The sequence below is a fragment of the Homo sapiens genome, chromosome 10, assembly GCF_000001405.40.
Source record: "Homo sapiens chromosome 10, GRCh38.p14 Primary Assembly".
Taxonomy (NCBI): domain Eukaryota; kingdom Metazoa; phylum Chordata; class Mammalia; order Primates; family Hominidae; genus Homo; species Homo sapiens.
In genome coordinates, this window is record NC_000010.11 from 93986297 (window position 1) to 94002289 (window position 15993).

General features: G+C 44.4%; 1 protein-coding gene and 1 long non-coding RNA gene across 23 annotated transcripts in view, besides 1 other annotated feature; both read left to right on the forward strand.

The window, feature by feature from the left end:
* The first annotated feature begins 650 nt into the window (after positions 1-650).
* On the forward strand, positions 651-7423 carry LOC105378438 (uncharacterized). The gene is made up of 4 exons (XR_946215.2): positions 651-689; positions 1425-1577; positions 2200-2255; positions 6924-7423. It is a non-coding gene; the product is annotated as an uncharacterized LOC105378438 (long non-coding RNA).
* Positions 7449-7738: a silencer, noted in NCBI's record as "silent region_2632". NCBI's record gives its function as "represses an Ori minimal core promoter by ATAC-STARR-seq in GM12878 lymphoblastoid cells {active_cell/tissue: GM12878}" and the evidence as "EXISTENCE:reporter gene assay evidence [ECO:0000049][PMID:35858748]".
* PLCE1 (phospholipase C epsilon 1) overlaps positions 7635-15993 on the forward strand; it is a 338893-nt gene continuing 330534 nt past the window's right edge. For 10 of the 22 annotated variants that reach the window (XM_047425286.1, XM_006717885.5, XM_006717888.5 and 7 more), the window contains exon 1: positions 7635-7962. The gene's annotated coding sequence lies outside the window, so the exon portion shown is untranslated. Of the gene's footprint in view, positions 9445-15993 lie in introns of all 22 variants that reach the window. The other 12 variants (XM_047425284.1, XM_047425291.1, XM_047425296.1 and 9 more) reach the window with 4 other exon arrangements.

Here is a 15993-nt window from a genome sequence, read left to right on the forward strand (position 1 = left end):
AAAAAAAAAAAAAAGAAGCATTTTATGTTTTTTTGAAGAACCAGCTCTTGGATTTATCTTCTAGTTGGTTAAGGCTTTCATCTTTACTATTTTTGTTTTATTTTTTCTTAGAATTGTTTTGGTGTTTTTAATTTAAATTTTCAGTTCATATATTTTTACTCTTTCTTGTTTAATAATAAAAAAATTTAAGATACACATTTGCTATTGATTACTGTTTGGCCATATTTCATTAATTTGGATTATGCAATATTTTCATTTTGTTATGTTCCAAAAAACCTCTAATTATAATTTGGGTTTCCTTTGTGATCCATTAATTATTTAGGACACTGTGTCTTAATTGTCGAGCAGCTGATGCTTTTTGGCTTTAAATGTTTAGTATTAATTTCTAGTTTTCTTGCATTTTAGTCAGAGAATATGGCCTATATATTTCCTGGAATTCCTTGAGATTTTCTGAACCCATTTTTGTAAATGTTCATGAAACTTGGAAGAGAAGATATATTATCTCTGTGTAGACTGTAAAGGTTATAAAGAGTTTAGATGTTGTTTCTTCACTTTTTTTTTTTTTTTTTTGAGACAGAGTCTGTTGCCCAGGCTGGAGTACAGTGGTGCCATCTCCGCTCACTGCAACCTCCGCCTCCCAGGTTCAAGTGATTCTCCTGCCTCAGCCTCCTGAGTAGCTGGGACTACAGGTGTGCGCCACTAAGCCCGGCTAATTTTTGTATTTTTAGTAGAGATGGGATTTCACGATGTTGGTCAGGCTAGTCTCGAACTCCTGACCTCAAGCAATGTGCCTGCCTTGGCCTCCCAAAGTGCTGGGATTACAGGCATAAGCCACTGTGCCCAGTCCACTTTTTTGTTATATTAGTAAAAATCTATGCCAAAATCATGAACAAATTCAGGCCAAAAGGTTAGTTATAAAAACATGTGGCATGAACAAGACCCATTAGCAGGAGAGGTAGCTATCTCAAGGTAAAAAGAGAGATCCGAAGGACATCAGAAGGGCTGATAGGAGGACATCAGAAGGAGGGTAGGAGGGAAAGATGGACAGAAGGGAGAAAGGAATCAGAATAGAAATGCAGATTTTAGATGCTCGGGAGCACAGGTTTGGGACACATTTCACGAACACTGGGCTCTGGTTGATGAAGTAATTCTTTTATACACTGCATGCAATGTCTTTGTCAGGGTGAGACAGATATAGCATAGGGTGAGAAGCTGCTTCTGGAAAATAAGGCTAAAGAAAAAGACGTGTCAGACTAAGAGTGGAAGCTGAAGGGAATATTGTGGTCAGTGAAGGGAATTTCAGAAGGGAGACCCTAGAGGGCTCAGGTATAACCTCACTTGCAAACTCTCCGCTGAGTTTGAATAGAAATAAGAGCACTGAGGCAAGAGGTTCCCGGATTGACTGAGAAACTATCATTTTGCAGGTACGGTATTCCAGCCTAAGATAAAGTGTGCACAAGTCCCTGCCCTCATGGAAGACACCACATAGTCTCAATATGGAAGGGGGCAGGGAGGTGGAACTCCTTTAAAATAATGCCAGAAATAGCCTGGAGAGGAAGCTAAGACGTAGGACATTGGTAAGTCTTCAGTGAAGACAGGAAGAAAGTGGAATATGCAAGCGTCCTAAGTTTTGAAAGCAGAAAGACTCTCTCGGGAAGGCCATGGGAAAAGTGGCGGTGGGACAGCAGGAGCTAGGCAGCCCTTCCTCTTTCTACCCTAGTAACTAGCTTCCTCTGTAGAAGACTCAAGGAATGATGTGGTGTTGGGGTCAGCAAGGTGAACTCAGTGTGGAAGAAGCTATTTCAGATGTCCAGGGAAGGCTGGGGTAAGAGGATGGCTTTAGGACCAGATTAAGTTCAAATCTAGGTATCTGTGTAAACTTGGGCAAGTTACTTAACCTTTCTGAGCTTCTGATTTCCTTATCTTTAAAACAGAAATGATAAGTGTCCACTCATAGGTTTTGTGAAAATAAATACAACATATTGTTGTACAAAACTTTTAGCACAGTAAACCTCACCTTTAGCTATGAGGATTCTGACCATCCTCATATCTTCACTTTCTTCCTTTCCTGGTTTAATGTTATCATCAATCATTATAAACAGTCCTTGAGTGTATCCTAAGCCCTTGACCTTTTCTTGCTTTGTTAACAACCCTACTTAAATCCAACTCTCCATTTTTTCTTTTCCTGTACCTATGCAGCTAAACCTGGCTGAAGAAAAATGTACAATCATTGTGACTGGGCTCACTGTACTCTGGTGAGTATTTAATACCTGGCATTGCATTTCCCTATTCCATTTGCTCTCTCACTTTCCAGGATGATTACTTCATACCTTTTCTCTCAAACTTTCTGCATGTCCTACCCCATTCTCAGTCTCATCTGATGACTTTGCTTACCATTTCTTTTTTTTTTTTTTTTTTTTTTTTTGAGACGGAGTCTTGCTGTCACCCAGGCTGGAGTGCAGTGGCACGATCTCGGCTCACTGCAAGCTCCGCCTCCCAGGTTCATGCCATTCTCCTGCTTCAGCCTCCTGAGTAGCTGAGACTACAGGCGCCCGCCACCACGCACAGCTAATTTTTTATATTTTTAGTAGAGACGGGTTTTCACTGTGTTAGCCAGGATGGTCTGGATCTCCTGACCTCGTGATCTGCCCACCTCGGCCTCCCAAAGTGCTGGGATTACAGGCGTGAGCCACCACGTCCAGCTGACTTTGTTTACCATTCCACTGTGAAAATACAGGCAAGCAGAAGAAAACTTTCACGAGCTTCAACTAACTCTACCTACCTCCCAACATTCGTTCCTATTGTTCCAGTTATGAAAGTTATGTAAGGAACTATCCCAAGACTTATGGCCTAAAAGACTGACCATTTATTTGGCTCAAAAACCAGCAATTTGGGCAGGGCATGGCAGGGATAGCTTTGATCTGCTCTACTTACTATTGCTGGAATGGCTTGAAGGTTAGTGACTGGAATCCCTTGGAGGCACATTCACCCACATGTTCAAGGTTGATGCTGGCTGTCAGCTGGGATCATACATGCCTCTCCAAGTGGTCTGGGCTTCCTTACAACATGGCATCTGGGTTCTTGGGTGAGAGTTCTGGAGCAAGATAGGCAAACAAAAGCTGTCTCAACTTCCATGACATAGGTACTCTAGCCACAAAGCATCACTTCTACCTCATTCTATTAGTTAAGGGGCTGCCCATATTCAAGAGAAGGGGAATTAGACTTCACCTGATATCAGTGGCAAGGTTCTAGAAGAGGATGTGGGACTGGAAATATAGCTGCATCTACTTTTGAAAAATACATTCTGTATTCTCTCCTGTTTCTTTAAACTGTGCATTTTGGCCACTAAGAACAACATAAAACCTTAAAAACTACATCTAGAGAAGTCTCCACACCTGAGGCCGGAGTTCAAGACCAGCCTGGGCAACATAGCAAGACATCATCTCTACAAAACAATTTTTTTTTAAATTAGCTGGGCATGGTTGTGCTTGCCTGTGGTCCTAGCTACTCAGGAGGCTGAGGAGGGAGGATCACTTGAGCCCAGGAGTTCTAGGTTACAGTGAGCTATGATCACACTACTGCACTCTAGCCTGGGTGACAGAGCAAGACCCTACCTCGAGAAGAAAAACAAGAAGTTTCTAATGTCTATGCTTTGGAATTCCAGTGTTGCTAAAACTTTTTTTAAAAAATTGTGCTTTTATAATTTTTCATTATGGCTCCTTGAAACAATTTGAGCTGGTCCCAACTTTTGCTGACAACAACTCTGAACCAGGTATTACAATGAGATTCCTGAATGTTTCAAGAAGAAAAAAATGTTCTGTCAAAAGATTGACAAGATTTTGGAATATTCAAAGGGGTTTATGGCCTTTAAATACCATAAGTCTAAATGAAAATAAAAATCTGAGTTTTATTTATTTAAGTAATAAACCTTTATACGTTCTAAGTGTTTTCATATACACTGGCTCATTTAATCCTCACAATTACGCTGAGGGGTACTGTATTAGTCTGTTCTCACGCTGCTCATAAAGCATACCCAAGACTGGGTAATTTATAAAGAAAAAGAGATTTAATGGAATCACAGTTCCACTTGGCTAGGGAGGCCTCACAATCATGGCAGAAGGCAAGGAGGAACAAAGTCACAGCTTACATGGCAGCAGGCAAGACAGAAAGAGCATGTGCAGGAAAACTCCCCTTTATAAAACCATCAGATCTCGTGAGACTTATTCACTGTCATGAGAACAGCATGGGAAAGGCCCATCCTCACGATTCAATTACCTCTCACTGGGTCCCTCCAACAACGGGGGAATTATGGGAACTACAATTTGAGATTTGGGTGGGGACACAGCCAAACCATATCAGGTAGGTACAATTTATCTAGAGGAAAATGAGGCACAGTGAGATAAGTAACCTGTCCGAGGGCTCACAACTTGGGGGTGGATCTGAGCATCCAACTCAAGTGGTCCCACACCAAATTCTGTTCCCCTAACACCGGCTGCGCTGAGAGAGGATGTTTAAGATCATCTTTCCCTGCTTTGCTTACTGTTCCCTGGGGACCCTCACTCCTAACCATGTCACACAGGTAGAGATACCTACAGCTTTAACAAGCTGGTTGTTTTTCATCAACCTCAAACTGCCTTAGTACATCTAACCTCACATACAAGACAACTCTAGGAAGTGTGTTTTTGGCTCTCTGCTCACCATCTGAACTTGCTAGTCTATTTGCAGACAGCTAGTAAGCCCGGTACAGTTTGATGCAGTGACTTTGAAAGGGAGAAAATGGCAACTGCAAAAGCTGAGGGCTGCCTTGTTCCTTCAGTCCTTCCTTGGCCTTTGTGCTACCCAGATGTCTGTTGGCAAATTCCTCTGTTTGACGATCAGCAGCTGTTTGACAAAGATCAATGCATTAGTCAATGGTGCCCACACTGACTACTCAGTTCCCAAACTAATGGTTTGTTTATGAACGGGTTAACTGATGGCTGGCTTGTTGAGTGTGGCAAAGCGCCAATCCTTCTTCTGTAATATGTGCAGTAGAGGGTGTGGGGCCTCTTGTTGGCAACCACCACCATGAAGTCAGAGACCACTGCCCCCACCTCCTTTCTGAAAATTACAGGATAGGGGAGGCAGAAAGAAAGAGGGAAGATGGTTCCGTTTCTTAAAATAATTTTACTACTTAAATTCCCTAGTCTCTATGTTTATCATGTATTTAAATCAATTTCCATTGACTGGAGACCAGTATGTAATGTAATAAGCTCAAAAGACATGTGTGTTTTCTTCTGAAATTTCAAACATAGATGCACTTTACTGAAATAAAGTCTCCACAGGATTGTTTCTTGGGGCTGTTGTTGTTGTCTATGCAGAATGGTCTTGTATAAAGAGATGCATAACTTAGTTTACTGAAGCTGAATTTTCCATGGAAATTATCCAGTGCTTTCCCAATTCTCAGGCGCTTTATCTGACAGTCTTTCTTCCTCTAGATAATGGCTGGCAGCAGCCCACAGAGTGGAGGTTATATGGTGCACTTCTGAAAAAGTCTTGAATGGAGCCATTGTTCCCCTGAGATGGTCTGTGTGTTTCACTGAACAGAGAGCAGGGTGTAAAAAAGGCACCTTGTGTGCAACTGTTGGCGAGGTTGGGGAGTGAATTAAAATCTCCAGAAAGTCTGGGCAGTGCTGTTCAGAGGAGCAATGAACACTCTGGAAGTACTGTTAGCTCAGACATTCCAATGTGGTGAGGCAGCCTCGGGGACACGACTTCCCTCCAATCTCGTTTAGAGAGGGAGCCATGGGGCGAGCAAAGGACACTGATCTGGACCTGCTCTCTTTGCAAAGATTTGAGGAAGGCGCCCCTTTCTAGGGATGGGGCCACAGTGATTATCACACTTGGATAACTTTCCTGCTCAACGGACCTAGATTTGCCTTGCTTACTAATCATGCAATGACTCATTTGGAGGATTCAATGTTAACTGCTTGTGCATCTACCAGTTTGTAGCTATCTATTCCCATGTGCCAAATTAAAAAAAAAAAGTCTTTGGGGGTGCCAGGTGATGGATGAAGTTTGATATTATTTGATCATTAAATGAATTATAAAACCATAATATAATACTGTATATTAAATAAATAGCCTACCTTGTTTATTGTCAGTGATGCTACCTCTTTCCTCAGCCCTTTATTTACTTGTTCAGGATAACATAGCCTCAGGGATTGAGTAAATTACCACTTCTCACTGTCCTAGTGCTAAAATGCCAAGATCTTAAGGAACAAAGAATTTCTTTAGAGCCCTCTGCAGAGACCTTTCTGAAATCAGCTCTCCAGGGAGGCAATCATGTTAGTTTTCATTAAAGTCCTAGTGGTGAGAAAACAGCAAGACAGTTTAAGGACCAGACTGGCAGATTTTTCTTAACAGCAGGATTCTTTGGGCCTCCTGTGCTTTCTTGCTCCAACCTCTCCTGTGTTCTGGAGCCTCCAAGAAGGAGAGATCACTTTTAAGAGGGACCCGAAAGAAAGGGTCAAACATGAGCAGGAGGAAAGTGTGTGGGAGGAGATGCTCCAGGTAGAAGGCTCAGCTTAAGTTCAGGTACAGAGCTAGAGTGGGAGAGACATTCTGTTGGGTGATCCTTATTAGCCAGGGCATGCTGGGTTACACAGCCATGGAGAGTTAGTTTGGAGGGCAATAGGGAGCCAGTGAAGTTTTCTGCATAGATTAAAGTTGTAAAAAAGGAAGAATAATACAGCGGTGGTTTGAAGGATTGATTTGGTCCAAGGGAGAGGACAGTGGGAGGCGATATGGGCCACAGGAATGGGTCCTGATCGGATGTAGGAGAAGAGGTCAGGCCTAGGGAACGGTCTTCCATTAGAACAGGTAGAGGGAGGAGGCACAGGTTTAGGCGAAAGGGAGGAGGATGATGATTTGATTTTTTTTTCCAGGTCCTTGGCTCTCCTAAGACTCATAAAAGCCGCTCCAGCGGCTAAGGAAGTTCTGTGCAAAGCCTGTAGTTTCTAGTTGTGAAGATCTTCAGGTTTGCTTGAGCAATGAAAGAGTACTGGATTTGGAGTCCGCAGTCCTGGATGGCCACCATTACCAGCAAAAGGAGTATTTCCGGAGCCTGGCACAACGCTGGGCACATTGATGGGGCTCAATGAATATGTATTAAATGAACGAGTGACAGAACAGATTCGAGACTTGGTGCTGCCATCTACTACAGAGACCTTGATCGTGTCCTTTATCTGCCGTGAACCTCAGTTTCCATATCTGTCAACCAGGGGTGGTTCCCTGGGGTAGTGTGAGAGTAAATTCCCGCCGCCTGAGGTGTGCAGAGTTCCCGCCCTTCCCGGAGCCGGGCGCCCCAGGAGCGCTCTCTCTGGCTCCCGCCAGAAAGGATGGCTCCTAGGGGTCAGGGCCAGGGGTCTGGGAAGGGGTCGCGCCGCCAGCAGCCAGCTCCGGGGGAGGCGGCCGGGTCCTCGCTCCGCGCCCGCCTTCCCCGCGCGGCAGGAGCCGGGGGCGGGCCCGGCACAGGCCGCTCCCCCGCCCGGCCGCCCGCGGTGGCGCTAGCGGCCTCTCACCCGGGGCGGGCGAGTTCTGGGAAAGCCCGGCCCAGGGCGGGGGCCCCGCTGCCGCCCGCGCAGCCGCCGCTGTCCGGGCAGCGCGCACATCTCGGCGGGAGCGGACTGTGAACGGCGCGGGTCCACACGGTAACGCTGGGCAACGTGGGCAACGCGGCGGGCGGCGGGCTCGCGCGGCGGGAGGGGCAGCGGCGGCGCGCCCGGGCTCTACCTCCCGGGCTCTGCCTCCCGGGCTCTGCCTCTCGGGCACTTGCCTGGCTCCTGCGCGTTCCTGGGCATCGGCTCTGCAGCTGACACACAGTAGCGGGGACACCCGACGCCGCTAGCGACAGGCGCGCGGACGGCTGGTCCCAGAGGGACGCTGCGCTTGGGGACGCCGGCGAGACTCGCCAGGAGCCAAGAGGTGAGGAAGCGACTCTGTAGCTCGGTTCCTGAGGACTGGAGAAAGGGAAGGATGGGCTGGTTCTCTCCCAAGGCAGTCGACCCGCCTAAGGGAGCAGCCCGACTCCGCGTACCTGGCGGAAAAGTGTCCTCGCGCTCCCGGGGGACCCGAGGCGGGCGGTCCTCCAGGGCATGCAGGCCGCCCTCGCAGGGGCTAAAGGACACCCTGCCAGTGCCTTCACTCCAGACGCCTGCCTCAGGTCGCCCCTTCGTGTTGTGAATACGGTGTGGAGGTGGCCAGTGCAAAGAAAAACGTAAGCTCTTTTTGTGGCGGTACTTAGCAGCGGTATTTCAAGGAAAGTGCTCAAGAGATTGTTCCTGGAGAGATTTGTGTACATCAAGTCCTAGAAAATACAATATTGGACCAGGTCCCGCTCTAACTGATAACTAGAATAGCTAGCTTTGCCTTCAAGTCCTTTAATGCTACAGTAATAAATACACTAGAGCAAGAAGTCTTCTGTCGTGGCGAATGTTAGGTGCACAGCGTAAATTTGTGGAAGCTTTCGCCCCTCGCTCTGTATTTAAGCCATCAGACACTGAGTTCAGCCGACTTAACCAATTATTCAGTGTAAGACTCATTTAGTGATTAATCAGTGTCATTTTAAATAGTGAGTTCCCTGAATACCTGTTAAGTAGGATTCACGTCTTCGAAAAGTTTTATTTGCACGAAGGTCATAATTTCAGTTGCATTATGCAAAATTTGCCCGTAGGTCTTTTAGATCTCTGCAGGATTGGTATGTTTTCATGTTTCTTATACCCCCCGTAGAGGTAGGGCAGGGCCGCTGCCACAGAATGGGCACTACTGAGGCCAAGAATGCTTGACCCCACTAGGGAGAATTTTTGAGAGCCTGACTTGGGAGGTGGAAGCAGGTGACCCCATAGGTGCTTGTACAGGTGCCCAGTTGTCATTGAGGAGAGAGGTGGACTATCTCTAGGTTATTGTATGCATCGATGTCTTCATAAATACTTTTCTGAAGAATGTCTGATGGTGTTGTCATCTAGACCATCTGATGGCACATCTTCCCCCACATCCACCACTCTAAAGTCTAACCATCCTTCAAACTGTGTTTTGCTGGTGGTGTGAGGCTTTTCCTGAAACAGCCAACCTCCCCCTGCTCTGATTTCTGCAGCATTTTTTCTCCAGGGCCCTTTCTGCTCTCTACCTTCTGGGAGTTATTTATGTAGATGTCTCATTTTCCCTACTGAAGGCATTTGCTGTGGCTTTCATGGCAAAATGCTTGCACCTAGAAGACTCTAGAGATAATTGTGGGCCAGTATTAAATCTTAAGACTTTGGTTTTACAACATAAATATCTACTTTGGAGAAGGAGATAATATAATTGAAAGGAGCTAGAGGAATGTATAATGTTTACCATTAACACTATCCTTTATTTACAGCCCCATGGGGGAAATTCCCTTTATACCCAGGAGCCATGTCTTACCAGGTAAGAAGCCAGATTGAACTGGAGGGACATTCTTCCAGTCCTCTTAGTAACATAAACTCCTGGGATGTGGTCCAAGTTTGACCTGTCATTAAAAATTCCATACTCCAGTGGGTTAGAAGCTAGATTCCAATGAAGGCGGTTGGTTTTGTTTTTCTATTTACAACCATTCTTAGTCACATTCTTCTCTGGGCTTTTGTTGTATACTTTAAAAAAACTGTTTGATGTGCAATTTGTTACCTGTAACTTTCTAAATGAATAAAAGAAGATTGAAAAAATACTGTGCATGGTGGAAGAGTTTTCTAAAGTAGACAGCAGGGGACGTTTCCCATGCCTGGGCAAGAGGAGGGATTTGCACAGAGTGAGGCTTGCTGCACGTGTGTGTGTGTGTGTGTGCGCGCGCGTGTGTGTTCCACACACCTGGCTGACAGGCGCCTATATAGGACAGTTGCTTTAGTCTTAATGCCTTCTCTCTCTGCCGGAACTACTTCTGCGGTGGAAGAACAATAAAACAGAGCTTCTGGGTTCAGAAGGAGAAGCAGAGGAAAAGCCAAAAACAGTAGAAGCAGCTAAGAGTGTGAATTTGTTTGCTGAAGTTGCTTTCCTCCCAACGTTCAGTTGAGATCTGTGGCATTGAGCAAGTAGGGGTTTGGTTGAGGCGAGGGAAGACAGGTGATTAGGAAACATGGTGCTTCTGGAAGAGGGGTGGAAGGTTCTGATAGGGTTTTAGGGAAGCATGTGATTTAGTTATGTAAGGCCCAAAGAGGAGAGTTGGAGATGGAGGAGTAGGGAATGGAGAAAGAGAGGAAGACGATATCAAAGATGCATTTTGTTATAGGCCAACCATGTGGCCTACAAAGAAGGGCAGAACTCTCTCTAGCATCATGTGTTCCTCTCTGCTCCCTGGATGCAGAATGCAGGGTTTTTACCGAGGCTATAATTCATCTGTGTTATGGCTTAAATAGATTTTCGTGGGCCAGATTGGGAACCAAGCCCTCGGAGGCTACATTGTCCAACATGGTAGTCACTAGCCACATATGGCTATTTACATTTGAATTGAAATTAGTTAAATGAAATTAACCACCCATATTTCAAGTGCTTGATAGCTACATGCAGCTAGTGGCTACTGTATTGGACAGTGCAGATATAGAACATTTTCATCATCTCAGAAAATCCTTCCCTAGAGGATTGTTTCAAAGGGGTAATTCCTATTAATCTCCAAAGTGTACTGGTTTCCAAATGAAATTTAGTCATAACTTTAAAGTTTCCAAATTTTACATGAAAATAATAGAAGTTGTTGTTGGTAACACTATGGTGCTTACTACATGCCAGGCACCACTCCAAGAACTTTTATCAATTAACGCATTTAATTTTTATATATTACTCAGTCAATGTGAGAGATCTTATCCTTTAGCTGTATTTCCAAAATCAAAAAAGCTCTAAAAACTGTGATTTTCATAAATTTGGCTACAAAACTTGGTCTGAAGTGACGTGAGGTTATGACAGTCTTTATTTTTCTCACTTGGTGAGAACTACACATATATTTTTACTTCAGAAATTATGGGCATATTTTATTTGCTGCAGATACCATTGAAAGTGTTATGTAAGATATGGCATATGCATTTTTACCATTACAAAATCCATAAAGCTTCTGAATCACAGTTGGCTGGCTGCTCAGAATTTGGATTAGGGAGTGTGGACTTCCATGATTATGCCCATTTTGAAGATGGGAAAACTGAAGCAACGAAAGGTCAAGTGATTTGCATAAAGTCACAGCAAGGAAGTGCCAGTGTCAGGAGCCAGTCAAAGTGGGCTGTCTCCAGAGTCTGTTCTCTTGATCACTGTGCTATCCTACATTAACCTCTGGGCTCATGACCCAAAACAAATAACCATCCTTTTTTTTTTTTTTTTTTTTTTTTTGGTTAGGTGAAACCTAATAGCTTTAACTCAGCTCATTAGAAAGTTTCAGATAGTGATCTGGCTAAATTGTTTAGCAGTTGAGGTTTTGAAATGCCATGGATAGTTCAACCACCGTAATAGACGTGCTTAGCAATTGTTTAGCTTGCCCCTTTCCACCCTGTGTCAGCCACACTTGTTTTTGAGCATTCACTGTGTAAGAACTGGTAGGAAAAGAGGTGGGTACTGGTGAAACCATTGGGCTCATGTTGAAATCTTTGGCATGTGGGGGCTTACATATTCATAACTGTTATGGGGTGGAGGGTGGCCGGTGGTTTGGTCCTAGTATAGATCAACTGTTACAGGCGAGGGCCATTTGGTGGACTACCAGGATTGTAAGCCCTCCTGGCGTGTTTTTGGAGGGTCTGCATCAATCTGACTCAGTCGGAAGTCTTTCTAGGGAAATTGAATTCCTCTTTTCTTGTGGGAGTTCGACTGGAACTGCAAGGCTGGTCTGGGGGCAAGAATGGACATTTCATTTCTCCTCCTCAAGTAGTGGCAAGCCTCAGTGATCTCTTCTTAGATTTTGGTCCAAACCTGCCTTTGAAGAAATTATTGAGTAACCCCAAGGTTTCTCCTTTGAGTAGGAGGAGATGTTCTGGACATTTGACCTTTTGTGTGTAGTTTAGCGTGGCCTCTGCAGGACCCCCTGTCTCTTTGCAGCCAGGGGGCATGTATACCTCTTGCGGCACAGTCTCTGAGGCCCCTAATGATCTTTCCCCACCTGACTCCCTGAATCCAGTTATCATGGCTTAAGGTATAGAGCCTGGACACTCTATTCGTAAATACAAGATTCTCTAGAATCAAATTTCCCTGGGGTTTACCTAGTACAACCTTGGATGAGCAACTGACCTTTGCGTAAAATAGCAATAGTAATTGTACAGGGTTGCTTTGAGGCCAAAGTGAGATGGTTCACCTAAAGCACTTTGCATAGAGACAGACACATCCTGAGTGCTCAAAGTTAACTACTAATATTACTGTTTCTTCCCCCAGGGCTCCTCAAGTCTTCCCAGTCTGCAGTGTTAGGTTTTGGGGAGGTGGAGATGGTAGGCTAGATCATGATCTACCAAAGATGTCCAAGTCTGAATGCCTGGAACCTGTGAATATGTTACTTTACGTGACAAAAGGGACTTTTACAGATGTGATTAAATTAAAGCTCTTGAGATGATCCTGGATGATCTGGGTGGGCTCAGTCTAATCTCGAGTGTTCTTAGAAGAAGGAGACAGGAGTGATGTGAGCAAGGGGTCATGAGCCAAGCCTCTAGAAGCTGGAAAAGGAGAGAAAATGAGTTCTTTCCTAGAGCCTCCAGAAGGAATGTAGCCCTACTAACCCATTTTAGACTTCTGACCTCCAGAACTGTAGGGTGGCACATTGGTATTATTTAAACTACTAAGTTTGTGGTCATTTGTTGCAGCAGCTGTAGGAAACTAATACAGCATGGAAGAATAAAGAGAAAGCAGTCAGGAGTGAGAAGAAAGCTATCAAAATAAGAGAATGATAATATAGCTAGCATTTAGTAAGAGCTTCGTACTAGGTATTGTTCTAAGCAATTTATAGGTACTAACTTGTTTAATCCCCACAACCCACTTTCTGAGGTAGGTACTTTTATTATCTGCATATCACAGATGAGGAAACTGAGGCACTGAGAGGTTAAGTAACTTACCCAAGGTCACACAGCTAGTATGCAGGAGATCCGGGATGTGAGTCCAAGCATTCTGGCACTCTTAACTGTCACCCACACTACTCCCAAAGGCAGGCATTTCTGGCTGTTGAGTCTGACACTATCAGCCACTGAATGGTATGTGACTGTACGTGGGGAAAATGCAATGTTGGAATTGGTGAGAAAGAGGGCAGTGTAGTTGGTTTTTTTCTTCCCCAGAACACTGGTTATTGAAATACTCGTAAGTTTTCACTGTTGCCATCTCCTAGACTGCATCTGGACAGCCCGAAGCCGTGGGAGCAGTTCCTGGGCTGGCCTCCCTCTCGCTCCCACCTCTGTTCCTGCAGCCGCCTCGCTCACCACAGACCGCTGGCCCCAGCGCCCTGTTGGCTCTGCTCCCGCCTCTGCCTGTTTATTGGATTTGCCTCATTCCTGACTCTTTGCTCCAGCCCGGAATTCCACCACCTCTGGGCCCTCCAGTGCTCAAACTTGAGCTGGTTAGTGTCAGGGCCCAGATTGGAATGGCCCTCTGTAACTGCCAGTGGGGGATTATTTTTGCCTTTTTCCTTTGATTATGCTGGCTGTTGTTGGTGTTCTAGCTGGGCTGCTTTTGTCTCTCAAGCACATAATCCAGAGTGATATTGGTTGGGAACAGGGGTTTTCAAACTATGTTCCAGGAGTGTTTGGGGCCTCTTCAGGGTGAGGGAGATGCTGAGGAATGAAGATCTCTATCGTTTACTTCGGCTTTTACCGAGCAGTCCTGCTCTTATTTGTCTTATATACTGGGGCTCTGTTTGAGATTTTGCGTGAAAGAGGGGCTCTATTGTTAGACAAAGAGACAAGTTTGAGAAGAACTAAATAGACTTGCCATAGACTTGGATGTACAAGAAATATAACTGTATTTTCCCTCATTTCATTTTATAAGTTTGGGATCTGGAGTCAGGTTGCTTAGGTTCATTTATATCTGGCCTCTACTACTTATCATCTGCATGGCCTTGTGCAAGATACTTGGCCTGTTTGGGCCTAAGCATCCTCATCTACATTATAGAGGGGTAACAGTAGTACCTATCAAATAGGTTTTGTAAGAATTAAATGAAATAACTCATGTCGGAGGCTTAGAACTGTACATTGTCTAGAATAAGAATTCTAACAAATATTAGCTTCTTTGATAATTTTATAGTTGTTAGAACTGTACATGGGCTAGAATAAGAATTCTAACAAATATTAGTTTCTTTGATAATTTTTATTGTTGTTACTGAGTCTCCCAGTTGAATGGCAGAAAAAGGATTTAGCCTCATATCTTCATCCCTTCTACTGCTCTCTGAATGGTGTTGCAGCTGCAGGTCTTACTTCCTCTCTCCCCAGCTGCCACTGAAATAGCCACTGTCCTTGTCCATAGGTGACTTCATATACAGTGCCACTGAGCTGCCTCTCATGGGTGCAGCAGCCGCAGCGCCCTGAAGTCTCTGAAGTCTCATTGCCTTCTGCCAGGAAGCGAGGTTCCTTCTGCTTTCAGGACCTATGAGACATTTTGTCTTTTCTCCCCTGACTACCAGCCAGTAGGAGTTGGAACGGGGGCAAGGGTCAGAGTAAAGCTCCAGTCTCCTCCCTGCTTCTGCTCAATACTGGGTCTATGATACAGACTTAATGCCCTTTAACCCTTTCCTCTGTGCTCTTGGGGTTTAAGTTTTTAAAACAAAAGCCAAAAAGGCTCATAGGTCTGCCCTCAGCCCCCCATATCCCTCCTCTGAAGCAGTGAGTACAGGGCTACTTGCTTGAAGAGGAAGGAGGAAGATATCTGGGGAAAATAAAACAAAACATAGATAGGGTGCCTAATCTTGACAGGGCTGTTAGTCAAACAGTACTGGCCAGTGTCATCGGTGATGTTTGCCCAAAACCTCTTATCTCTCTCTTCTTAGTAGTGGCATCACTGCTGGCTGTGTGGTTGTATGGTAACCTCAAGGAAATGTGCTCCATTTGTAAAAATAATGAAAGGTCTCCTTTAGAGGGGCTGATGATGGGTGCACACAAGTTCAGAGCTATAACAAAACTCAGCTAGCATTTGTATATTTTCATTGCTTTATAGGAATAGCCACATAATAATAATAAAACAGTAAGGCTGCTATATGTAGAATTAAGGAAGAGACAGACATAAAGAGAGACTCTGTTTTGATGACTTCACTTTAGGTTTAAACTATATAATATTACTGACTATGGAAAATCTGGAGAATGGAAAAAAATCATTTGGGAAAAAAGCCTGTGACCAAGTACATGCTATACAAATCTGGGATTAAAATATCACATAACATGGCTTAATTTGGATATCACAGGAGTTGTTTCAAGTTACTGTGATTTCTAAAGAAAGTTTCAATTCATTTGTTGTTATTAATAACACAAACTCAGATTTCATTGATTCAGCGTGTTTTTCACATATGAAATGTTTGCCTGGAAGAATTGAAGCCCTCTCTAGTAGCCTGTTTTGCCAATCTCAGAAAGGTGGATAAAATTCACAAAAGCTAAATACTCTGGGCATGAAATTGTATTCCTTTTCCCTCCACAAAGGCAGAATGAATTTGGATGACAGAGCAGAGCTTGAGCAGTTTGGTTAACTGTCGGGGTCTGAGTGGATTCACTTAGACCTAATTTGCTTCTAACTCGGTCTGGCTTACTGTGCTTGAGGTTTTTCTTTCATCATGGCTTGGGCACAGTTTTAAAATTTACAGTGGTAGGGATTGGTAAATCTAGAGGTAGTTGTGAAAAAAAAAAAGCTCAATTATTATTTGAATCTAAGAGAAGAAGGCAGGAACTTTTGAGCTATGCATAGAAGCTATATAAGTTTGCAAAAAGAACTCCAAAAATCAATTTCCTGCACCAGCAGTGCAACACAGACATCAGGCAACCTTGCATGCTCTCCCATGACACTCTTGGATAGGCT